Source organism: Homo sapiens, chromosome 2 (genome assembly GCF_000001405.40).
Source record: "Homo sapiens chromosome 2, GRCh38.p14 Primary Assembly".
NCBI classification, from domain to species: Eukaryota; Metazoa; Chordata; class Mammalia; order Primates; family Hominidae; genus Homo; species Homo sapiens.
This window is the reverse complement of record NC_000002.12, coordinates 45983136-46009099: the sequence shown is the minus strand read 5'-3', so window position 1 is coordinate 46009099 and position 25964 is coordinate 45983136. Positions and strand designations below refer to the sequence as shown.

The window sequence follows — 25964 nt, the reverse complement described above, 5'->3', positions numbered from 1 at the left end:
TTTGCACTCATTTACCTACAAACGTCACAAGCCTTTCTCTTCTTAAATAAGTAACTCCTAAGTACAGTATTCCAATGTAAGTCATCAAAGCTAAAAAGCAGCCATCAGAAACTTAATGAGGGAATTCATGATGTTAACCTGAAGACTTTTTGTCGCCCGCGTATTTTACAGACTCTTTAAAACTGGCTCAAACTTTGGCTGTGATTTTTCCTAAGAGATAACCTAAATGCTCCAAAGTCATCTAAGTTCCCATTCTGCCTACACTATATGAAAACCTAGAATCTCGGAGTCTTGCTCAAAATTAGACCACATCCTGTTCAGGTCCCAGAGTTATGCCTAACCAGAGGACCTCTTTTTATTTAGTCAGTCTCTAAAGAATGTAATTGCTTCAGCTTTTGCCATTTAAGTAAACCCCAGTTACCTTCCCACCAGAGTGGTATCAGGGTGAGATAGGGGCAGGTGAGACGGCTGGGAACCAGGTGGGATGGGCCAGCTGACTGACCTACAGGCTGCTGCTTTCAAGAGTCCAGGACATGCCAGGGCATGTGATCCCAGGAGCTTCCTGGTCCCCAGAGCAGGACCTCCCAGAACTTCTCAGGGGGTCCCAGAAAGGTGACTCCCAGGCTTAGCTCTGAACAGAACCAGGGAACAATCAGAGATCTCAGGTGAAATGCAAACAGCTTCCTCTGCTCCCTGCCCCTTCATCTTCTTTCTAAATGAACAGGAGTTAATTTTTCCATCTCACCCAGCCATCGGAATGGTGGCTGATCACCTTTAGTGCTTTATTGAGCATACTAAAGGCCACACCCCACACCACTGTGTTCATCTCAGTGGGAACAGGATATGGAGAATGGCACCAAGGGCAGAGGACCCTGATCCGAGGCATGAGATGATTATTCCCATTTTCTTGCCACGTGTAAAGGATAAACAGAACATTTATTACATGCCAGAAAGATCAGTTAAATAACATTTACCTTCCAAAGTAATGCATGCTAAATTTGCTTTAAACCCTAGGTTTGCTGAGGGCAGAGATTCATTCTCAAAGTCTTCATAACAAATTAAAAACAGAATTTCAGCTGATCTCTGAAGGAGGGAAGACATGTATTGACACTACTATTGATTTGGAACACTGAGCATTTAAAACTTTCCAAAGTGCTTTCTCATCTACCATCTCACTTGATTCCTGTCCCCATTCAACAAATGAGAAAAATTGAATTCCAAAGAGATTAAATCACTACTTGAAAGTCTCATATAGCCAATTAATAGCAGAACCAGCGCTCCTATCTACTTGGCCTCAGGTCATTTGCACTTACAAAAAAGGAAAGAAAACCTAACGAGATCAGGCTGAAAGGTTCCTCTCTCAATCTTAGATCAAACAGACGAAACAATGCTAAGGAGTAGAACAAAACCAGCAGTTCCACCCGTGTGTGCCACAGACCTTGCCAAAGCTGCCTTTGCCCAACACCTTGATGAAGTTGAACTCATCCAGGCCCAGGCGCTTGGCCTGGCCTTGCCGGACTTCGCCATTCTCACCGGGGCTCATCAGCTGGCCATCAGGAGACGATGCTGCCCGGTGCTCCTCTCCTCGGTTGTCAAATGACAAGGCTTTCCGAATGTTGTTCTCAAGTTCTTTTATTTCTAGGGCCAAGGGGAACAAGAAATTGCATTAGTGCATACCTCTTAAGCCTGTTACATTAGGACTCAACACTCAGACTTTCCCCTGTAAGCTCTCAGTCCTCTTTCTGGTTCTTCACAACAGATCCAGTGTGACATCCCTTTGTATGTTCCTTCATCTGTTCACCACACTCTTATTGGCACCTAATGCGCAGCAGAGCTTAGGTATGCAAAGAGGAGGAGGACACAGTCCCTTCCCTGCCCTTGTCAACTCCAGATTACACTGGACCTGGCTGTCTCTCTGAAAGCCCCCTTTGGCTAGTAGCCTATTCCACTGTTCTAGGTAAAGCACACAAATCTGGGCCCTCTCTGGAATTCTGCAGAGTCACAGGTATCCTTCAAGTTTCCTCTGAAGATGAGAACAACGAATCAAGAACTGTCATCACAGTAATCACTGGTGATATAATTATTTCAACAACTGAGCCATCAGAACGGTGGCTGATCACTGAAGGTAGAAACCTTCATACCTTCTAAAAACCTTTACTCAGCCTTGTTGCCGGGTTTCTTCTAAATACCCATCTTACACAAGGTTATCTAACAAAATGAGCAATGGGCTTATTATTAACAAAAGAATTGCTTTCCCAAGTGACATGTTGCAAACTTATCTCCAATGGGGCGGGAATTTCTCAGTACAATTTCTCAACTACGAGACAGTCTTGTGCCCCGCTCTAGAGCTTATGACCTGAATTACCTGGGGGAGATAATGCTGGATGATCCTCTGACCTTTTCTATTTGAAGAAGCTTTACTGTTAGCAACTCATTCATCAAGACACGCACTCTTCTGTGTGGAAATGGGCATCTTGAGCAAAATCCGATTTTAAATGATGCTTGTGAATAACTTGGATTATGGAAGGGGAACATAGCCTATTAACCCTTGGGAATGAGAATTAGGCATGAGTGACAGAAAGAGATCTTCAGCTTCTTTTCAGAAGGACAGAGTCCCATAAGGGCTTACTCAAGGAATCCGGAGATCTTTCCTAGATCTGGAGTTTGGCTCCTCTGAGACGTGTTGGGGAGGGTGAAGACGGGGAAAGCTGCTGAGTCTGCAGACACTCCCCTTGCCAGTTCAGCAGTTATCCACCTATCACTTAGCTTGACTAAATAACTTTTAATCTCACAATAGAGCTAAAAGCCTCAGTTATTAAATGAATTTTGGAAGGCAAAACATAGTTGTTTGGGGACAGCAAAGCTTGAAGAAAAGGTTTTTCTATGTGTCTTTACAAGGGAAGAAAAAGAAACTATGTCTTATTTCTGTTCTGTAATAATGTCGCTCAGAGGGACATCTGTGCTAACATCACTACTGGGAAATCCTGGCGTCTGTGTCAAGTGGGATGAACAGAGGCCCTGGGGCCGCTGTATCCTGCCACTGTATCCATCCAATGGCAGAGCTCAGAGCCAGAGAGCATGCAGGGCAGGAGCCAGGCCTACAAACCCTGGTCTCTGAACTCTTACCTGGGGTCTCTTTTCTATATGACCCTGTCTCCCTGAAGCTCCCAAAGGGGATCTCAGCCTCAGAAAGGAACACGTGAAAACCCCCAAACTGGTCTGGGAAAATAGCTACAAGTTCTGCAGCCCCAGAGTACATCAGGCTACTTATGAATGCTTCAAATCTCATTTGGAATGAGGTAGAGTATAAAGACACAGAAAGTTAATTGGAGTAGCACGAAGAGGGACTGAGACCAATTATTCTGTGGCCTCAGGGCTGGTGCATGACCCCCGAAGCTCTTTTATTTACTCCTGGGTAAGAAGGTCTGGGTCATGGTGGTGACCTCCAAGGAAGGTTTGATGGCAGGGTTTCTGAGAGTGTGTCCCTCAGCCAGCATGGGTACAGTCTTGCCCTTACCACTGACTTATCTCCAAACCTTGGGACAGAACTTTTCCACACTCTGACCTCCCACTTCCCACTCACTAACCTGGGGGACAGTAATGAAGCACCAACATAGAGTGGGTATGGGCATAAAATTAGGATAATGAATACAAAAAGGGATATAGAAAAACCAAGGCACCATTGTCAGGCTGTGATGGTTATTCCTCTTCTGCAGATGCATATGTCCCTTACCAGGCATATCTGATAATGGTCACGAGAGCAGGAGGTTTTGCAAGTGTAAGTCCCTCCTCAGCCTCATCATTCTCGGATGGCTGCAGAATTATTATTGTGCAAATTATGTCTGCAGAACTTATTGTCTGAAGCACAGTCGGACAGAAGGAGATATCTGGAGCTGTAGAGGGGAAACAGGCCTAGGACTGGCCTCCTTCCCACTTCTTTTCTCAGTCTCTCCTCTAGCTTCATCTTTCTATCCTCACCCACCCAAAGGCCAGGATAGAAGACATCCTCCCTCACCCAGCCCCAAACTCAAGCTGATCTCAGGTTTTGGGTATGATGATGGGGGAGGGAGTGTCAAACTCAACTCAAGGGAGTGGTGTTGACAGGTCTAGGGCCAGGCAAGAGCTTTAAGAGAGGGAGCTGTACCCTTCTCTCTGCAGTACACTTGGAACCAGGGACAGAGGCAAGGGAAAACAGATAACCATAACATCATACACTCGCTCTCCTCTTACCCTGGCCTGGAAGGAAATTAAGGCAGATATGGCCATGGAGTGCCCAGCCCTCAAGAAGGTCTTGGAGAATGAAAGAACTGTTAAATCAACAGGCAACGGGTGTGTGAAAACCCACCAGGGCTGCTAGCTATTTCAGCTAACAAGCTCACTCTTGGTTAAAGAGGCCTCAGAGCTCCTTGGTCCATCCAATGGCAGAACTCAGAGGTCAGGAAGCAAATCTGAGGGTCTCACCCTGGTCACAAGGGGAGGTGGGTGCTGACTTGGATCGATCTTCCTCAGATGGTGAGCTTCCAGAAGCAGGCTGCGGGGACTCGGCACCAGCAATGAGCTAGAGAGGAGAGAAAGCAGGGACAGAGGCATCAGAAGGGAGGGTTGAGAGTTTTCTGATGTCAAAAGCATCAAGATGCCGTATAAGAGCCATGAGAGTTCCCAGAGCAGCAGGAATTCAGTAGATCTCTGTCCTCTTGCAGCCATCGCCAAAGTAGCCAAAATGAAGTTCGATCCCTCTGTGACGTCTGACCAGAGCAAGAACCACAAAAGGAATTTCAGTGCACCTTCCCTACATTCACAGAAGGATGATGTCTTCCCCTCATTCCAAAGAGCTGAGACAGAGGTACAATGTTTGATCCAACCCCATCCAAAAGGATGAAGTAGTTCGGGTTGTGCGAGGACACCATAAAGGTTAGCAAGCTGGAAAAGTAGTCCAGGTTTACAGGAAGAAATACATCATCTACATTGGACGGGTACAGCAGGAAAAGGCTAATGTTCAACTATCCACGTGGGTATCTACCCCAGCAAGGTGGTTATCACCAGGCTAAAGCTGGACAAAGACTGCAAAGAGATCTTTGAACGGAAAGCCACATCTCACCAAGTAGGAAAAGAGAAGGGCAAATGCAAGGAAAAAACAATTGAGAGGATTCAGGAATAAATCTTACATATAACTTTCATTAAAAACTGCTAAAATAAAAAAAAAAGAGAGTGTTCCTAATACCCAGTGTTACTTGCTGAATTGATATTCTGAAAGCACAGACTCAAGGTTTCATTTGCCAATTTAAGGGAAGAAAACAAGAGACTTCAGTTTGTTCACTTTTAATTCTATCCAAATACAATTGACCTTTCTAAGCAAAGCTCACCCCATGTCTTCCATAACGTCCCCCTCCACCTATCCAAGCAATGCAAGTTATCTCATGCAAAGCAATGTGACACTTGTCTCTAACACCTGTTTGGCACTTATTTATATCTTATTCAGCTTTTTATAGTTAGTATCTTTATGTGTATATTGTGAGGTGTTCTCCACTTAAGTAGACTATAGGATACTTAAAGGTAAGACTCTGTCCGGCACTTTTATTGCCCCTAGTGACTTACACAAAGTAAGAAACATAATAGATGCTCAATAAATATTTTCAGATATATTGATATTTGTTGGTAAATTTTAATAGAACACCTCCAGTGAGGTTTGTTCCTTCGCATAGATGCTGGCATATCCACTTTGAGTCTCCATTAACATCAGTGGTTTAGACTCAAAGATCACAAACACTTCTGCTCCCTTTTAGTACTAACTCTTGGTCTACCTGCTGTGCACACACATCCTTTCTGGATGATGGACTAGTTGCAAGGGGCAACACGAGGGCTACCAAAACACCAGAAAGTCTGATATTCCTGCAAAGAAGCCTTTGAGCTTCAGACCAAGGGCACTCCTCTCCCAACCTCTCATAGTGACTTGAGTTACAACTTGGTTTTTCCCAATTTTGGCATCAGAAGCATCCCAGCAATAAAAATATCAGGACTACAGTCCCTCAGCCTTCCACCCTGCCCCTTCTTGAATTTCTCCATGTTGGCTTCTTACCTGTTGGTTCTTCCAAATCCAAGACAAGGCAGACAATGTCTCACAGCTGGCATGACAACCCATGTAAATATAGCGCAAAGACAGCAGGTACTGAGTTTTCTTTCAAATGTTTCATGACAAAGATTCTGTCTTAATTTACTTCTAGACAAGAATAAAAACCATGTCTCCTGAAAAGGGTTCTCTCTAGAGCTTTTAAATGTGTTTGCATAACGTTGTCATGACAGAGTGTTTGCTCAGCTTGCCTCTTCAGCAGGGCCCTAGCATTCTTGGGTACTGATACTCTGCTTGCAATTCCAGGGCCTTGGGTCAACAAGTGAAGTCTTGTTTCCACCAGTGGAATTTACAAAGCTGAGAAGAGCCACCAAAAGCACAAAGTCTCAGTTATCTCAACCAGAGAGAAGAGAATTTTTTCTGCAACCCTTGCACAACAGCTTTGCTTATTGAGAAAACAGGGTAGGAGAAGTTTAAGAAAATAAGAACCCTTCAACCTTTCCTATACAAGAGAAGCAACATGGAAGAGCCACGGGTAGCTTCTAACATGACAAGATGACCAGGAAATGTAGGAAATGCCTTTAGAAGACATTTCAGGGCAAAATTCAGGGAGACTATTTAGGCGGAAGATTGCAGAGGTACCTAGAGTCAGACTTGCTTTTCTAGCAGGGGGCTTGAGGATGTTCGCCACTGGGCAATGAGGGCCACGCCCCACTGCACCCTTCACCCGGATTTTCTGCCCTGTTAACATGGTTCTAATTTTCTCATAACTTACTTTTCAAAGACCTCTTAAATTTTCTAGGCTAGGAGCCAGGGCTAAAGAAGAGCCTACAAATGAAATGCTACGGATGCCTTTCCCCCTGTTTACATCTGTGGGCCCTGACTTACCAAAATAACATTTTGGCAAATGGATCTCTTCTTACTGATATTTAGAATGTCACAGAGATAGAGACAGTTTTGGTCTCCAAAGAATGGCCCAGATGTTTCATGTCGTGAGACATTAACAATATTCCCCAGGCAGCTCAGTGCTGGTATGATCACAAATCATCTTGGCTTCCTCCCTAGAAAAGAATGTGGTTCCAGTTCTTCACCCATTTATCTCCATTATAATGATACCAAGGGTGAAGTTCAGACACTGACATTGCTTTCATGCCAGTTCTGGAAGCAGATAAGTCCATTTCCTTGTATGGAGTTGTTAAGCTTTTTCTAGAAGGAATTTCAAATTCCTCATCTCAAAGTTTATGTTTCTTTGGCAAACGTAACCCTTGAGGCTTGCTGTGTTTTCAGTCCACTTTTGGAGCTCAAGAAGACATTAATGTTACCTGCCTGGCTTCTATCTTTGTTTTTTTCTTTAAGTACTGCAGTTCTGAGTAAAATACCTCAAACCCAGGAATCTTATTACCTCACTCCAGAGCACCCTCTGGAAGTCAGCACAGAAATGCTAGCCTGAAAAGGGCTCCAGCAACACCACCAAACAGCCAGTTACCTTTTTCCTTCTCTGGCCGCTGTTGGTGATTTTGTCTGGGGTAACGCCCAGGTCGGCCAGTACTTTGGCGATTCCTCTGGCATCCACTCCACAGTTGGGAGCCACGTTGGTCTCACATCGACGGTGAACATTCATTTTGCAGACTGTAAGGAGACATGGAGAAAAGACAGATAAGTGTTCATGGCCTAAGATGTTGCTTCTTTTCTTTGAGATTGTATTATATGTTCATGAAGTATTACATGTTCATTTAAGATATAATTTGGAAAATACAGAAATATATATATATATATATATGTCTTCCATCATACAAAACCAAAATCATTCATTAAACCACCTTGCAGAGATAACCACTGTTTCTAGTACTTCATTCCAGCCATCCTTTCTACGTATACCCTAAATATAGATAAGTAAGTAAATGTCACATTTATATTTCCCTCCAGGGACTGGGAATCTTTCAGATCTCCAGTCTGAATTCAATGAATTCCTTTGCTTTTCCCTCTTCACTTAGTTGTCCTTGGTGTAAGACATCACAGGTGAAAACAACCTGCTCATTGAAGTCTGGCACCTAAGGGGCTTAGAAGTCAGCAGCACTCCATTCTAACAAGCAAAACGCTGAACAAACTACAAAATCAACAGCTCTTCCGAGATCCACCAAGTGAAGTGAAGTCCTAGGGCAAACTGAAACTGCTGCTCCCAGAATTAGACAGCCAACCAGGCGAATACAGAGAATCGCAACTTACTGAAGCAGAAACCTCTGTAGGAACAATGCTGGGGTAGAAAAACTGTAACTGTAACCAACAAATGGGCTCAGAGCAGACAAGCCTGAGAGTCAAAAACTCTAAGGGGGACCCAGTCGTTGAGTTGATAGACTTTTGTACATTCAGTTGAGAGTCGTGCTCTTCAGGAGCTCAACTAGATTCTCATAGTAAATATGGAGAAAATCTCAGGATTTCAGTGTGGGGGTTGGGGGTGGGGAACGTGGGGAGAGAACCATTTTTTAAAATAGCCCAGAGCACTCTGCTCTTCTTAACGAGGGCTTCTCTTAGGAGAAACTATTTTATCAGAGGTTGAGGGTTGTTTTTTTTTTTTATCAGAGATTGAGGTTTTATCAGACCCCGACTGATCTGGGGACAAGGAAATCCCCAACTCCAGCCCACTCTAGCCATCCTGTCCTATCTAAGGCCAGGGGAGGACTGAACAGCACTTGTGAGGTTCACAGCTCAAAGGCACAAATTCATGAAAACACCCTAATCACAGCTCTATGTAATTCTTTCCCTCCCTCCACACGTTACTCACATTACTAACAGCCTGTTTACTGACAGTTCCTTTTACCCGGTATATAATGTCTGGCAAGAAAAAACTGTAAGGCATCCTAAAAGGCAAAGAAAAAAAAAAACAAAAAAACCCCAAAAAACCAGTTTGAAGTGACAAGGCAAACATCAGAACTAGACTCAGATATAGCAGGGATGCTGGAATTATCTGACTGGGAATTTAAAACAACTATGATTAATATGCTAAGGGTTCTAATGGATAATGTACACAGCATGTAAGAACAAATGGGCAGTATAAGCAGAGAGATGGAAATGCTAAGAAAGAATCAGAAGAACTGCTAGAGATCAAAAACACTAACAGAAATGAAGAAAGCTTCTGATGGGCTTATTAGTAGTCTAGACATGGCTGAAGAAACAATCTCTGAGCTTCAGGATATATCCATAGCAGCTTCAAAAATGAAAAAATAAAGAGAACAAAGACTGGAAAAAATATCCAAGGATTGGGTGATAACTACAAAAAGTGTAACATATGCAAAAAGAGACTACCACTACGAGAAGAAAGAGAAAGGAACAGAAAAAAATATTAATATTTGATACAATGAGGACAGAGAATTTCCCAAAATTAATGTCAGACACCAAACCAAACCACAGCTCCAGGAAGCTTGAAGAACACCACACAGGATAAATGCCAAAAAGAAACAAACAAACAAACCAACAAAAAACTATACCAAGGCATATAATTTCTAAACTACAGAAAATCAACTATTTAAAAAACGCTGAAAGAAGTCAAAGGAAAAAAAAAAGTTTTACCTATAAAGGAGGAAAAATAAGAATTACATCCAACCTCTCCTCAGAAACCATGCCATCAAGAAGTTAAATATTCAAAATGTTGAGATAAAAACCCCACCACCCTAGAATTCTCTACCCTGCAATATTATCCTTCAAAAGTGAAGGAGAAATTAAAACTTCCTCAGACAAACAAAAATGGAAGGAATTTATGGGCAGTGATCTGCCTTGTAAGAAATGTTAAAAGTAGTTCTTCAGAGAGAAGACAAATGATACAGCTCAGAAACTTGGATCTACATGAAAAAGAGAGCAGGTAAAGAAAGGTGAAGAAATAAGTGGAGGTAAAATAAAAACTTTTATTTTTATTCTTAATTAATTTAACAGCTAATGGTTTGCCCAAAATCATAATATTAGTAATGTGCTGATTATGTGTAATTATAGTATTTCATATATGCTAGGTATGCTTATGTGTAAGTGAAATAAATGATAGTAATGAGACAAGGATGGCAGGGAGGAATTAGGATAATTTTGTTATTATAAGGTACTTGTACTGTCATGAAGCAGCACAATATTATTTGAAAGTAGATTTGGATTTGTTGTAAATGCATACTGCAAACTCCACAGCAAGCACTAAAATAAGTAAAAAAGAAAGTATAAATGATACGCTAAGAAAGGAGAGAAACAATACGAACATATTAAATGCTCAATTAAAACCACAAAAGGCAGAAAATGAGTGGAAGACAAACATAGAAACAAAGAATAAGGGCAACAAATAGAAAACAGTACTAACTATAGTAGATATTAACCCAAGTATGTCAATAATCAATAATCATTGACTTCAAATGTCAATAGTCTAAATATACCAATTAAAAGACAGATTGTTAGAGTGGATCAAAAAAAACAAGACCCAACTAACTATATGTTGTTCACAAGAAACCCACCTTAAAGACACATACAGATTAAAAGTAAAGACATAGAGTAAGATATACCATGCTAACACTAAACCCAAAAAAGCAGAAAAGCTAAATTAATTTCAGACCCAGCAGACTTCAGAGCAAGGAAAGTTATTAGGGATAAAAAGGTCAATTCTCAAAAAAGACGTAATTTTTAACGTGTATGTACCTAAAACCAGAGCATCAAAGTAAGTGAGGCAAAAACTGATGGTACTACAAGGAGAAACAGATGATGCTGCTATTATAATTGGAGACTTCAGCACCCCTTTATTCAAAAATAAACAGATCTAGCAGGCAGAAACATTAATCAAATCAACAGCAACATTAATCAACAGCAACATTAATCAACTGAATCAACAGCAACATTAATCAACTGAATATAACTGACATCTATCAACAACTTCATTCGGTGACAGAAGAATACACATTCTTCTCAAGATATGAAGCAATCACCAAGAAAGACCACATTCTGGGCCATAAAATACACCTTAACAAATTTAAAAGAATGGAAATCATACAATGTTGGCTTTAGACCACAATGGAATTAACCTGGAAATCAATAAGAGAAAGATAGCTCAAAAATTCCAAAATACTTGGAGATTAAACACATTGCTAAATAGCATATGAGTGAGAAAAGAAATCTCAAGATAAGTTTTAAAATATTTTGAATTAATTAAAATACAACTTACCGGCCGGGTATGGAAGCTCATGCCTGTAATCCCAGCACTTTGGGAGGCCAAGGCAGGTGGATCACTTGAGGTCAGGAGTTTGAGACCAGCCTGGCCAACATGGCAAAACCCCATCTCTACTAAAAATACAAAAATTAGCCAGGTGTGGTGGCGTATGCCTGCAATCCCAGCTATTTGGGAGGCTGAGGCAGGAGAATCGCTTGAACTCGGGAGGCAGAGGTTGTAGTGAGCCGAGATCATACCACTGCACTCCAGCCTGGGTGACAGAGTGAGACTCTGTCTCAAAAAAATAAATAAATAAAATAAAAATAAAAAATGAAATAAAATAAAATACAACATCAAAATTAGTGGGATATAGCAAAAGCAGTGCTTCAAAGGAAGTTTATAGCATTGAATGCATATATTAGGAAAAACATTCTAAAAATCAATAATCTAAGCCTCTATCTTAGGAAACTAGAAAAAGGAGACCAAAGTAGCTTACTTAAATCCAAAGTAAGCAGGAGAAAAGAAATAATAAGAATTAGAGCAAAAATCATTTGAATTAAAAACAGAAAATCAGTAGAGAAAAACCAACAACAAAAAGCTGGTTCTTTGTAAAGAGCAATAGACTCAATAAGCCTCTAGTAAGGCTAGTGAGAGAGAGAGAGAGAAAGAGAAGACACAAATTATTAATATCAGAAATGAGAGGACATCATTATGGATCCTATGGGCATTAAAAGAATAAAAGAGTATTATAAAGAATATTATGCCTATCATTTGATAACCCACACAAAATGAGACTAATTCCTTAAAATACACAATCTGCCACAACTTACATAAGAAGACATACACAGTACAAACAGGCTTATCTTGTAAAGCAATAGAATCAATCATTAATAACCTTCCAAAACAGAAAGCACTAGGCCCAAATGGTGAATTCTGCCAAACACTTAAGGAAGAAATTATATCAATTCTCTATAATATCTTCTAGAAGAAAGAAACAGACAGAATATATCCTAACTCATTTTAGGAGGCCACCATTACCATAATATCAAAGCAAAGATATTATAAAATCTACAGATCAATAACTTTTATGAATATGAATGCAAAAAATCTTCAACAACAATCAGCAAATTGAATCCAACAATTTATAAAGAGAATTACACACCATGACCAAGTAGGATTTATCCCAGGCAAGCAAGGCTGGTTCAACATTTGAAAAATCAACTAATGTAATCAATTGTTATCAATAGACTAAAGAGAGAAAAAAAATCAAATAATTCTAACAATAGATGTAGACAAAGCATTTGACAAAATCCAAACCTATTTATGATAAAATATCTCAGTAAACAAGGAACTGAAGAGAATTTCCTCAACTTAATAAAGAACATCAACAAAAACCCTACAGCCAATTTCATACTAAGATCAGGAACACAAAAAGGATGCTCCCTCTCACCACTCCTTTTCAACACTATACTGGAAGTTCTAACTAATGCAGTAAGACAAGAAAAAGAAATAAAAAGTATACTGATTGGAAAGGAAGAAATAAAACTATAAAACTATCTTTGTTTGTAGATGATATGATTGTCCATGTAGAAAATCCAAAAGAATCAACAAAAAACTCCTGGAACCAATAATGATTATAGCCAGATTGAAGAATACAAAGTTAATATACAAAAGTCAGTTGTTTTCCTATACACCAGCAATGAACAAATGGAATTTAAAAATAAAAACAATACCATCTATGTTATCATTCCCCCAAATGAAATATTTACATATAAATCTCACAAAATATGTACAAGATCTATATAAGTAGAACTACAAAACCGTTGTGAAAAAAATCAAGAACTAAATACATATAGAGATATACCGTATTCATGGATAGAAAGACTCAGTATTTGTCAAGATGTCTTTCCAAACTCGATCTATATATTCAACGCAACCTTAATCAAAATCCCAGCAAGTTATTTATGGATATCGACAAACTCATTCTAAAGTTTATATGGAGAGGCAAAAGACCCAGGCAAAAGACCCAAGCAAAAGGCTAACACAATATTGAAGAAAAAGAACGAAGTCAGAAGACTGACACTACCCAATTTCAAGACTTACTATAAAGCTGAAGTAATCAAGACAATGTGGAATTGGCAAAACATCAATGGAACAGACAAATAGATCAATGGAACAGAACAGACAGCCCAGAGCAGACCCGCACAAATACAGCCAACTGATCTTTGACAAAGAAGCAAAGGCAATAAAATGGAGCAAAGACAGTTTTCAACAAATGGTGCTAGAAAAACTAGACATGCAAAACAGTGAATCTAGACACAAACCTTACGATCTTCACAAAAATGAATCCAAAATGGACTGTAGACCTAAATGTAAAAGGCAAAACTATGAAACTCCTTGAAGATAATATAGAAGAAAATATAGGTAACCTTGGCTACACAGATAACTTTCTTGATGCAACACCATGATGCATGGACATGATCCATGAAAAAAAGAGCTGATAAGCTGAACTTCATTAAAATAAAAAACTTTTGCTCTGTCCCCCACCTCCCCAAACTAAAACAAACAAACAAACAAACAAAAAACAAACAAAACCAAACCACACACTGCCAATAGAATAAAAAGACAAGTAACAGACTGGGAGAAAGTATTTACAAAAGACATATATGATAATATATGCCTATATTATCCAATATAGGCAACAAACTCTTAAACTTAACAATAACAAAATGAATAACCCAATGGGCAAAAGACTTGAGCATACACCTCGCCAAAGAAGATATTCAGATGGTAAATAAGCATAGGAGAAGATGCTCCACTTCATGTGTCATTAGGAAATTACAAATTAAAACAATGAGATACCACTACACACCTATTAAAATGGCCAAAATACAAGGAGGTAACTGATAACACCCAATGCCATTCAGGATATGAAGCAACAGGAACTTTTTATTCATTGCTGGTAGGAATGCATAGTGGTCCAGCCACTTTGAGAGACAGTTTGGCAGTTTCTTACAAAACTAAATATACCATTACCATAAGATCCAGCAATTACACTACTGATATTTACCCAAATGAGGTGAAGAGTTATGTTCATATAAAAACCCGCACATGGATGTTTATAGCAGTTGTATTCATAATTGCCAAAACTTGAAAGCAAGCAAAATGTCCTTTAGTAGGTGAACGGATAAACTATGGTATATCCAGACACTGAAATATTATCCAGCCTTAAAAAGAAGTGAGTTAGCAACTGTGAAAAGACATAGCAGAACATTAAATGCATATTGCTAAGTGAAAGGTGCCAATCTCAAAAGGCTATCCCCTGTATCATTCCAACTATAGGACATTCTGGAAAAGGTAAAACTATGAAAATGGTAAAAAGTTTAGTGGTTACCAGGGGTTAGGAGAGAGGGAGGGATGAAGAAGCAGAACACAGAGGATTTTTAGTGCAGTAAAACTATTCTGTAAGATACTATAATGGTAGATTCATGTCATTATACATTTGTCCAAAATCATGGAAATGTACACCACCAAGAGTGAGCCCTAATGTAAACTATGGACTTTGATGATGATGTGTCAATGAAGGTTCACTGACCGTTAACAAATATACCACTCCGTTGCAGAATGCTGATGGTGAGGGAGGCCGTGCATGTGTGGAGGCAGAAGGTTTGTGGAAAATCTTTATACCTTTGACCTATTTTGTTGTGAACCTAAAACTACTCTAAAAAGTAAAGTCTACTAAAAATGTTTAAAAACCAAAACTGTTCCTGGAGTGAAGCCAGGCAGGATAAGCAGCCAGATCTCCGTAATGCTCTACATAACCTGGTCACCTGTCTGGAGAGAGCCCCCCCAGACCAGCCTGGACAGTTCAACTGAGCTACTGAACCCAAGATGCCCATTGGGCTAAAGGTGGGGGTGGGGTGAGGTGGTGGCAGGGTGGCTTTCTCAGGACAAAAACAAACAAGAAAACTCCAGCGCAGCCAGGCCATGGCACCGACTTGACTAATGGAGTTATCACTAATAACTCTGATCCGCGGGCTGATCAGAGACCAGGCAACAGCACTGTGCCCAGAATTCTGTCCCCACTACCCTGCCTCATTGCATCAGCTGCCCTTTGATGCTCATTCACCACACCTGCTCCACCCACCAAACCCATGAAAGCTGTCTTCTGCCTCTCTGTGAAGTGACGGAAAAGAGAATAAAAGAGCCAAGTTGAGAATTTCTTGAGAAGGGCAACTAACTTGTCTACATAACTTGACCACTAGCTCCCTCTGGTGTTGAAATGCCAGACCTGTCTGTCCTGACAAAACAACTTGGGCTGGCAGGTCGGCAAAGGGGGTATCTTTTTTTGGTTTTGGTTTTGAGGACTTTGCCTTTTATTTTTAAAAAGTCTGCTATTTCCCCTGAGTTATGTACTCATCTTAATATGTAAAAAAAATCTCAATCACACATCAGTTAGCATGCACGATGTGAGATAGTGACTTTGAAAGTGCTTTGAAAAGTCTGGAAATGCCAGGGCAAAGTGGTGAGGAAGGGGAGCTCCAGTTACTCTGGGCAGCCATAACGGGAGCAAGATGGGCTCCTGGAGGCTGCAGGTGTCACTGGGAGGCCACAGACCAGCAAAGGACAGTGGGCGTCCCTGTTGGAACCAAAAGAAACCTGAGATGCATTTGCATTAATGTGGCCAAATGAACCACCCACCCCCACCCCTCACAACACTACTGGGGAGCACCAAGGCCAAAGGCCGTGAGCCCCTGCTGCCAATCCACTCCCAGCCCTAGGCTGCCCTTTAAGGCTTCTCTTTCCAGAATGCCTCTCAGTGCTCACTTTCACTGGTTTCATTTGGATAAAGTTGTACCGGGAAGAAATAGATCTGCTTTGCCAGGGGCTCTTACAAAAAGAGAAGCGCTCTTCTACTACTACCCAGCTATTCACCACACATTTGTTGAGGACCTACTATGTGCTGGGTGGTGCAGCAGCAGCAGTGTTGTCTGGGGACACACTGGGGTTCAGGCACTCTGACTTTCACCTTCTATCACACATCCTACCGTCATTTGGAGAGACTTGGTTTCCATGTTTCCACCCTTTTTATAGCTGAGATTGAAGCAAAAGGCAGGCCAGGCTCCTGGGAATTCCTCCAAAGCAAGCAGACAACCTTCTGGGAATGGTGACAGAGCCACTCCTAAGGAGGGGCCCAGGCCCATGTATGCTGCAGGAATTTCTTTATGTTGGGGTAATTTGGCCCTTGAGGGTGAGCCAGGGCAATGGTTTGATTTCATAACAGGTTCCAGTCATGCCAAGCTCAGAGACAGAGAGCAAATATTTGCAAATGGGAAATTGTGTGCTTGTGCAATGGAAGTTGGCAGGGGTGTGAGAGTGAACGACCGCAAAGTCGTTCACGCAGAATGAGGAGAAAGGAGGTAAGAGGGATGCCCCCCTGGGGTCATGCTGGGCCAAATGTCATCACCAGAAAGAGATTTTGGAGTCCTGATCACACCAGAACCGTGACTCAGAGCTTTCCGGGGACCACGATCGGCCGCTTGTCTGCTACCCAGCATTCCTCAGATCAAAGCTCAGACTGAATTTTCAGCCAATCTGCCACGTGTACAGGGGACATTCTCATGGTCCCCAGGCATTGTGGATGTTACTGCAAAGGATTCTGAGTCAACCAAAGCACTCCTGTGGCATTCTTTCTCCCTACACCCCTTTCCAGGCCCTCTCTTGCCTGTAAATTGCTCACACTTATTTCTGACTCAATGCCTGAATTATCGCCTATGATTTCACTTATTATGTTCAATGACCAAGCACAGTGCAAGTTTCTAGAGAACTAAAGTAATGTTTTATCTCCAGGTTCACCACGACGCCTTGCACAAATCAGGACAACATGCTTTTCAGTTATTCTAACTCTACGGAAAGTAGTAGTACTACAGTGGCATAAATGACACCTCTCAGACCAGACCCAATAGATAACAGGGAACTAGAATCCCAAGCTCACCATGCAAGCCACACAAATTAAACGTCAATGAAAAGGAAGGTAAAGCAGTCCATTAACATGGCTTGACTTTAAAGCAAACAAGTAAAAGTGCCCTTATGTAATTCCCTCCTTGTATAATTCAACCACAAAAAGACAAGGGTTTAAAGTGATTGTTTGATTTCTGTGGGCCTTTCTTTCATAATTATTCACACATATGCATGAAAAGGTATGTATGAGGATGTCTGTGACAGCATAAATTAAAATGGCGACAACACACAAACCAGTAAACATCCATCAAGAGGGCAACATTTTAAACAATCTACGGAACATCCACAATGTGGACTCTTTCTAGTAAGTAAAGTAGATGTCTGTACACTGCCTTGGAAATACTCCAAGACATACTGTAGAAAAGCAAATTATATAACTATGCACGGAGGATTGAATTAACAAATATTTATTGGATGTCAGTGTGCAGGCACTGTTCTAGATGCTGGGTAAACAGAGAATAAAACAGACAAAAAAAAATCTCTGTCCTCATGGACCTTGTATTTGGATTGGGAGAGACAGAAATTAACATTATAAGGTCTGGCGTGGTGGCTCATGCCTGTAATCCCAGCACGTTGGGAGGCTGAGGTAGGTGGATCACTTGAGGTTGGGAGCTAAAGACCACCCTGGCCAACATGATGAAACCCCATCTCTACTAAAAATGTAAAAATTTGCCGGGCGTGGTGGCAGGTGCCTGTAATCCCAGCTACTTGGGAGGCTGAGGCAGGAAGATCACTTGAACCCAGGAGGCAGAGGTTGCAGTGAGCTGAGATTGCACCGCTGCACTCCAGCCTGGGTGACAAAGTGAGACTCTGTCAAAAAAAAAAAAGAAGAAAGAAAGAAAGGAAGAAAGAAAGAAACTAACATTATACAAGTAATTTAGACTGGGTGCAGTGGCTCACACCTGTAATCCCAGCACTTTGGGAGGCTGAGGAGGACGGATCACTTGAGGTCAGGAGTTTGAGACCAGCCTGGCCAACATGGTGAAACCCTGTCTCTATTAAAAATACAAAAATTAGCCTAGTGTGGTGGCATGCACCTATAGTCCCAGCTACTCCAGAGGCTGAGGCAGGAGAATTGCTTGAACCTGGGAGGTGAAAGTTGCAGTGAGCTGAGAGCCGAGATCATGTCACTGCACTCCAGCCTGGGCAACAGAGCGAGACTCCATCTCAAAAAAAAAAAAAAGAAAGTAATTTAGAATATTAGAAGATGATAAGTGCTATGTTAGAAAAAAAAGCAGAGGAAGTAAGAGACGAGAGACAAGAGCTTGAGAGCTACCCAGTGGTCAGGGTAGACCCCATAGACAAGACGATTGCATTTGTGAGGAGGCGAAGGGGATGTGGATGGGGAGGTGCAGGTGTGCCAGGCAGCCCCTAAGCTGCCTCCTGATTGCCCCTGCCTCATAGTGTTCATGCTTTTATGTAACTCCCTCCCTTGGAGAGGACTGGACGTAGTGATTCTCTTCTAATGAACAGAAAACATCAAAAGCGATAAGATGTCCCATTGCCTCGTGTCTGGGGCATCTTTTCTCACTTTCTTGTTTGCATTGAAGGAAGCCAGTCACTGTGTGGAGAGGCCCATACGGCAGAGAACTGATGTTTCTGGTCAGTGGCCATGTGGGCGAGCTTGGAAGTGGATCCTCTTCCAGTTGAGTTTTCAGATGAGACAACAGCCCCAGCTCTCAGCTTGACTGAAACCTCATGAGAGTCAGATGCACCCAGCTAAGCTCCATCCAGATTTCTGACCAGCGGAAACTCTGAGAAAATAAGTATTGGTTGTTTTACACCACTATGTCCTGGGGTCATTTGTTATGTAGCAATAGACTCTAACGCAGTGTGTGTGAGTATCCGTGCAGCAAAGGCACACAAAAAGAGGACATTTTTAGAAGTAAGAGGACCCATAGCACATTTTTAGAAGTCTGAGGATGAAAGTGGAAAGAGAATATAAAGAAAGCCTTTAATATTTTTAATATATATCTAACTTCAGTCTTGCTTGGATCTTTGACAGTAAGAACAGTGAGAATGTATTTATGTATTGTGCTCTTTATAATTCTAAAAATAAAAGTTGAAGTTACGACAAGGGACCTAGCTGTTAAAAATAGTAAAGGACTGACATTTTCAGAAATGTTGAAAATTAAAAATTATTCTGCATGTTTTTAGTGTTTTTAAGTATCCAAAATACTTTTTTTTTTTTTTAAACAAGGAAAGGAAGGAAGGAGGGAGACAGGCAGGCCTTTCTTTCATCTTTATGGCTCTGCACAGCCACCCCAAGGTATGTGGCTAAGATCACTCCATTTTTATTTTTTATTACTGTCCTCAGAAGGGAAGAGGGCAGTTGGGGTTAAAAGCCAAGGGCACTAAGCCAGGGTGACCTGCTTGCAACCTCCCAGCTAGGCAGTACCCAAACCAGGACAGCTCCTCCAAATCCTAGCCTGTGATCTCTTCAGGCCACCACTCCTGTTTACTACTTACTGGAGAGGAGGGGACACCCTGTCCCCTTGGCCCCTGAAAACAGCCGCAGATCAGAGCAGTTATTAAGATGTGTGTCAGAGAGAGGCAGGAGCGAGGAAGAAGATTCTTTAGGAATCTCCAGGCCAGGTCTTCGTGGAGTACACCTTCCTCCCTGTGCCTCGTCCCCTGTCCTGGAGGACAGCAGGTGCAGAGCATTCACCCCAGATGGGGATGAGAAAAAGCAGGGCTTCCGCTTCCACAGGCCCCCGCAGGCCCAACTGCAGGCTCCGTCAGGAGGTCTGGCTTTCCTGTGAAGTTGCCCCTTGGTGCCCGATGACTTCAGAGCAGCTGTGCTGAGACATGAGTGTGGGGGATGGGACGGGGGCAGGTGAGAACTGGATCTTCTCTAGAGAAGGAAACTGCAATCAAAGGGTATTGGGTGTCTCTGCCTCCAGGGGCCACTGACTCCATGTGTCAATGGGAAAATAAAACAGGTGGAAAAGGGCCCCAGAGAGGCCCATGGTGCCAGTGAACCTGAGATTGGAGAAGGCAGCACTGTTCCAACAAAGTGCAGAATGAAAAGGCTACAAATGCCCGAGACTAGCGATGCTGCTCCTGGAACCTGGGAAGCTGATTTCTGGACTGTTTAATAGTGGTTGAGGGGCTCGGACAGACCCACGAATGAGTCTGGAGAGACTCAGACGCAGCAGGCACTTGAGTCACAAAATGAAAGAAAGAAATGAACTATTTTGCCTGCTCACTTTGTGCCAGCATTTTTCTGCCCTCGGTTAAGGATCTCAGTTACCCAATGATCGTGTGAGCATCCTGCAAGGGTCTGGCCCCTCTGTGGCTGTGGGCTGCAAAGGACAAGGGCTGGTTGCCCCACAGTTCCTGGTTGTATGCCCTGCATGCACCCACTCTTTCCAGATTTCCATTTCCTTGTCATAAAAGCAGACATAATTATGCTCCCTCTACCTGGCTGACAAAGGGACAGTCCCCAGAAGGGTACACACACAATGCTTGAACCTGTGTGGCTCAGACAGTTTTAGACTGGAGAAAGAGTGACCAGGACAGTCTCATGGATCCCTCCTCGTAGACCCAAGCTCTGAAGAAACCTGTTTTGCTGAAAATACTGTAATCTATTTCCAGGAATGGGAACGGGAATGGCAAAAAAGCTGAAGCCATAGGGCAGCAGGCCAAATAGATGATCTCCAGCCAGGACCAGGGGACCAGAGCTCCAGCCTAGCAGGCCCTGCTAGCATGGTCCAGCAAGACAGAAAGCCTGGCTGAGTCTTCCTAAGCAGCAAAGGGTGGCATAGGGCACCTGCCAAAGCCAGGAACAGGGCCAGGCTGCATGGGTGCAAGAGCCAGCTTCATAGGGACTTGCTCGGGGATGCTTGCAGGTCACTAAGTCTTGATTTCTTTTTCTTAGTAATCATAGTAGCAGAACCAGGCTTAGACCTGGGCACAAGCAGCCCCTGCCTTGGGCCCATGCTGGCCTCTTCTGGCCATGACCCCTCTCCACAGGGTAAGGAGTCTACAGGGCCAAGAAGCCTTAAGGAGGAGAAAGGATCTAAAGAGATAAGTGGAAGCAGGCAATTTTCCAGGGCCATCCAGCTAATCTGTATGATACTATCATGGTAGATAACGAGCACTGTCCATTTGTCCAAATCCACAGAATGCTCAACACCATGAGTGGATCCCAAGGTAAACCACAGACTGTGAGTGATAATGATGTGCTGTGCAGGTTCCGTGGCTGTGCACGTGTGCTGCTGTGGTGGGGATGCTGGTGGGGGGAGGCCATGTGTGTTGGGGGGCACATAATACAGGGACTCTCTGTACTTTCTGCTCAATTTTGCTGTGAACCTAAAAATGCTCTTAAAAAAATAAGGTTTCTTAATTAAAGAGAGAGGAAGACAAAGAGAGAGGGAGAGGGAGAAGGAGAGGGTCACAGAACAGCAGCAAGGGGAAAAAAAGGCCAAGTAATAACATCAGAGCCACAGAAGAGTAAAAGTCTGCACACTTTGGCTGGGGAGCTTCAGGTCTCAGCCTTCGTCTTCTAGCCCTCATGCGGCCTGATTCCCTCCGGGTTCCTGGGCTCCCATGGACAGATACCCTTGCTCCAGGCATCCTAATTCTGCCCCTTCTTTCCTTGAGCAGGGGCAAGAGCATTTCCTGCCCAACAAGAGCTGAATACACTGTCCCTGCCCCTCCTTCTTCCAGGGTCATTGGGGACCCACAGCCCTCACAGTGATGTCTGGGTGTCTGGGCTGCTTTCTTAAAATATCAATATTTATGATGATAGTATCTTCATTTAGGTTCACTAGATAGATCAATAATTAATATATTTACAAAAAAAAAAACAGACATCAGCTCATCAGGGTTCCCTCCAAAGCAGGCCCTGCTTCCCGGCAACCACACTAATCTTTCCAAAAGCACATCACTCCTCTGCTAGACACTCGAGACTCCTGCTCCCCTCCCTTCTTCCTCTTCTGCTCTCTTCACCTCACCTACAGGATTCCAGGCAGGCCCCATTTTGTTCAGGGTCACACACTAGAAAGAATACTCCAACGGGGAAGTGGAATGGCTCCGCCCCCACCTCCAGGGGTGCCGGGAAGCTCACAGGATGCTGGGCATGTCCACAGTCAGCACCTCCTCATGTCCAGTGGCTGGATTGTGTTCTGTCCCCACAATTGCTATTTCCAGCCCTCACCACCCTCCTCGTGCCTCTCACACCCCCACTTCTCCCTCCTACTTCAAAAAAGACTTCCTCTTTCAGAAAATAAGGGGAATCTCCTTGCAATGCCCTCAACAGATTCAAAACTTAAATGATGACTTTGTCCACTCACCTCCTCCTGGATTTCTATCCCTGACACCCGAGATGCATCTGCACCCAGGCCTGGTAGCCAGGCTTGCCCTCCATCTGGGGAAGGCGGTGTCCATCATTCTCCCCAAGGCCCATCCCCGCTCGCCTCCCCTTCCCTGCTGTATCAACAGTCAGTCCCCTCTCCCTTCTGCCTCATCCATCTCTCCTTTGCCACTGTCTTTTTCCTGACTAAAACATTCTGAAAAAACATCTCCCTCTATTAGCACTTTAGCCTACAGCACTTGGGCTCCATCCCACTGTCCCACTAAGACAGCTCCTGCTGAGGTTCCTAGTGACCTCCTTGTTGTTAAATCCAACCCCATGTTTCGTGTCTTATCTTAAATAACCTGTTGGAAAGCATTTGGCACCACTTCTTTATAAAACTGTTAAAAATTATCTACTCTTTTGGCTTCCATGGTGCCATTCTTTGCTACTTTTCCTCCTACCTGTGAGTGCTTCCCTCTCATTGCCTTGGCAGGCCCACCCTTGGATGTTGGTACCCACCCTCATGGTGTTATCTTTGACTTTTTTCTCTTCATACTCAATGTACTTACCCTGGAGAATGACATTGACTTTATAGCTTTAATTGCTTAGATCCTGACAAAACCCACATCTAAATGCTCAGTCTAGACCTATTCCCCAACTGTCAGTGAGAATGTCCAACAGGTGGACAGCTTCGTGTCAATTTGCCACGGGCACCTCGAGTTAAGGTGTCCCCAGCTCAGGCTCCATTTCTACCTCCAACCTTATCCTCCCTCTTGTATCCCCATCTCAGTGAATGCTATCACTGCCCTCCCAGCTGCTTCTGGTCACTACATCCAATAAATCATTCCTCCTTGATATATTAAAGTCATTCTCCTCTTCATTCCCACTGCAGCCCTGATCTTATTTCCAATTCTCATAGTTTCTCATTGGGATCCCTTCAATGACCAATTTGTTATGTCCTAGGTTTATTTTCTTATACTTTACTTATATTCTTCTAATTTTTCTACAATGGGAATTTATGAATAATACATTCCACACAAACAGTAAAACACTATTTTAAAATATTGTCCATGCAATATCCCTGCCTAGTAGTTCACGGTTGCCCAACCGTGCAAGCAGGCTGGACCGGCTTATAAAACTGGACACACTTCTCAGGCCACCAGAATACATTTCCACCTCCCTGTGTTATATGCTACTCCCCGTGCCACTTAGCATCATCATCTGAGTGCGCTGTTTGCGGGTGGCACGGCAGGAAACAGGAAGGAACTGAGGACGCGAGAGTCAAGGTTCAAATCCTACTTCTGCTAATAAATTGTGTGATGTGAGCAAGTTGCTTAGTCTCTGAGCCTCCGTTTCCTCACCAGGGCCATGGGAATAATATCCCCTATGTCCCAAGCTGGTGACGAGTCAGCAAGCTACCTTATGTGACAAGGTTCTGGCATGGCTCTTTCAAAGAGTAAGCACTGAGCCATGGACCATGCAAGAAAAGCCTCAATTCACACCTCTCACTTCCTTCATGGCCTAACTCCAAAAATATTACTTTTCTTCTGCTCTAATGTATCTTTCCTGAAATTATTATGCTTTTGTAGACTCATTTTGTCTCCCCAGATTGTGAGTGATCTTAAGGCGTGGAGTCCGCCCTCCTCCTTCCTCGGTGTTTCCCTCCACCCAGTCCTGGATGGTCTCTGCCCAGAGTCTGCCTACCAAATGCACAGAGTTACTAATGCAGGATTAACAAAGGCTTGCACTCAGTTCTTGGCCAAATCTGGAATCAGACAAGGGTTTTTTATAAAGCAGGGATGGGGGCAGGCAGCAAGGAAGGGGACATGCAGGGGCTGAGGGCAGGGCAGGGAGCAACTTACCTTTACACTGCAAACCCTGCCGCAAGAGTCCCCAGAGCAGGGACCCACAGTGATCGCAGAAGGTAGGGACCTTGTAGTTGTGGATACCGAACTTGTGGGGCATGTTGACGCTGAACCGCTGGGAGCCCACCTGCAGGGATGGCAAGATACAGGTTCACCACCGAGCTCCTCAGTTCCCCAGAAGACTTGTCAACGGAACTCTCAAAGAACTTTTTCCAAGAGAGCTTGTGTCATTGTAGGTGGCAGGCCCTAGCTTGGCTCTAAAAGCTGCCCTGAGGTGAAAAGAGCTTCCATCCTGCCCTGGCCTTGGCTCCTGATGCTCTTAACTCACTGTTGGCTACTCCATTTGACTGTGCAAGGCCAGGCCTACTCCCCAACATGGTCCTCTCCAGGACTTCAGGACTTTAAGCAATCATAGTACAGTGTCCTCAATGTGTACCTCAGGCCGGGTGCAGTGGATCATATCTGTAATCCCAGCATTTTGGGAGGCTGAGGTAGGCGGACCACCTGAGGTCAGGAGTTCGAGACCAGCCTGGCCAACATGGTGAAACCCTGTCTCTACTAAAAACACAAAAATTAGCCGGGCATGGTGGTGCGAGCCTGTAATCCCAGCTACTCGGAAGGCTGAGGCAGGAGAATTGCTTGAATCCGGGAGGCAGAGGTTGCAGTGAGCCAAGATCATCCCACTGCACCCTAGCCTGGGTGACAGAGCAAGACTCTGTCTCAAAAAAAAAAAAAAAAAATTGTACCTTCAATACTGCTGTGTGCCTGGAAGCCCCACCTAGGCAAAAAGTCTCTAGGAAGCTCAATGGTGGACACGGGATTCTGTGCAGCAGCGTGTAAACTCTGCACAATGTTGTGGAAACTGTGGATCAGTCAGAACGGACAACAATTAGGAGGAAGATGGCTAATACAGAATGGTGAGCACTAAGAATGCTAAGGTCTCAGCCCTGACCACACACCAGGCACCATTATCTCAGTTAAACCTCACCACCACCCTACAGGGCAGTCCATGGTTACCGCAACTTCACAGATGAGGAAATGAAGGCACAGCACTATCATACCCTGTCCCACCCAGTGTCACAGGATGGCAGGGTCAATGAGACCTCAGGGGTGGAAGAGGCTAGAAGCATAACACATTTCATGGAAGCAAGGGTCTGCTGGGCTACCTTTCTGAGTCATCTCTGCCCCTCCACAGCGCTACCCTCCATCTATGTCTTTAGTGGAGCAGCTGCACCCCCAGCCCCTCTCAGTATCGGCAGGAGACCATCACCCAGGACATCCATGGGCTGGGGAGATCACTCTTGCTACCCCGGGGATTAGGAAGTGGCTGGCATGCGGCAAAGCTGGGCCTCAGCTCCCTGGCTGACTGATAAGTAACAGGCCCCCGTGGGGGACTAATGAGGGGTGAAATGAGAGCTGGAAAGGGAGCTCGACTTGAACGCAAGCATGAAGACAAGTTCCCTAGCACCCAGTTCCAAGGAATGGCTGATCCTTCCATTGGACCAAGATTTCACTGATCCCTACTGAAATGGATGGTCTACC

General features: G+C 43.5%; 1 protein-coding gene and 1 pseudogene across 23 annotated transcripts in view, besides 4 other annotated features; one reads left to right on the top strand and one right to left on the bottom strand.

Moving 5' to 3' along the window:
• PRKCE (protein kinase C epsilon) overlaps positions 1–25964 on the bottom strand; it is a 536712-nt gene that overhangs the window by 178891 nt on the left and 331857 nt on the right. For 21 of the 23 annotated variants that reach the window (XR_007078551.1, XR_939695.3, XM_005264428.2 and 18 more), the window contains 4 exons: positions 24420–24549; positions 7554–7696; positions 4462–4558; positions 1439–1638 (listed from right to left, as the gene is read on the bottom strand). Coding sequence is in view for 21 of the 23 variants with exons in the window: in XM_005264428.2 (XP_005264485.1) it covers positions 1439–1638; positions 4462–4558; positions 7554–7696; positions 24420–24549 (570 nt within the window). In the remaining 2 variants the exon portion in view is untranslated. Of the gene's footprint in view, positions 1–1438; positions 1639–4461; positions 4559–6076; positions 6243–7553; positions 7697–8097; positions 8488–24419; positions 24550–25964 lie in introns of those variants that run through there. The other 2 variants (XM_006712050.4, XM_011532983.3) reach the window with 2 other exon arrangements.
• Positions 559–1758: an enhancer, noted in NCBI's record as "CDK7 strongly-dependent group 2 enhancer chr2:46234481-46235680 (GRCh37/hg19 assembly coordinates)". NCBI's record gives its function as "activates an origin of replication core promoter dependent on BRD2, BRD4, P300/CBP, MED14 and CDK7 cofactors, with strong dependence on CDK7, by STARR-seq in HCT116 cells {active_cell/tissue: HCT116}" and the evidence as "EXISTENCE:reporter gene assay evidence [ECO:0000049][PMID:35650434]".
• Positions 559–2013: a biological region, named in NCBI's record as "CDK7 strongly-dependent group 2 enhancer GRCh37_chr2:46234481-46235680".
• Positions 1012–1512: an enhancer, noted in NCBI's record as "H3K4me1 hESC enhancer chr2:46234727-46235227 (GRCh37/hg19 assembly coordinates)". NCBI's record gives its function as "activates a minimal SCP1, AML or CMV promoter by ChIP-STARR-seq in naive H9 embryonic stem cells {active_cell/tissue: H9 hESC(naive)}" and the evidence as "EXISTENCE:reporter gene assay evidence [ECO:0000049][PMID:30033119]".
• Positions 1513–2013: an enhancer, noted in NCBI's record as "H3K4me1 hESC enhancer chr2:46234226-46234726 (GRCh37/hg19 assembly coordinates)". NCBI's record gives its function as "activates a minimal SCP1, AML or CMV promoter by ChIP-STARR-seq in naive H9 embryonic stem cells {active_cell/tissue: H9 hESC(naive)}" and the evidence as "EXISTENCE:reporter gene assay evidence [ECO:0000049][PMID:30033119]".
• Positions 4685–5187, top strand: RPL26P15 (ribosomal protein L26 pseudogene 15; annotated as a pseudogene).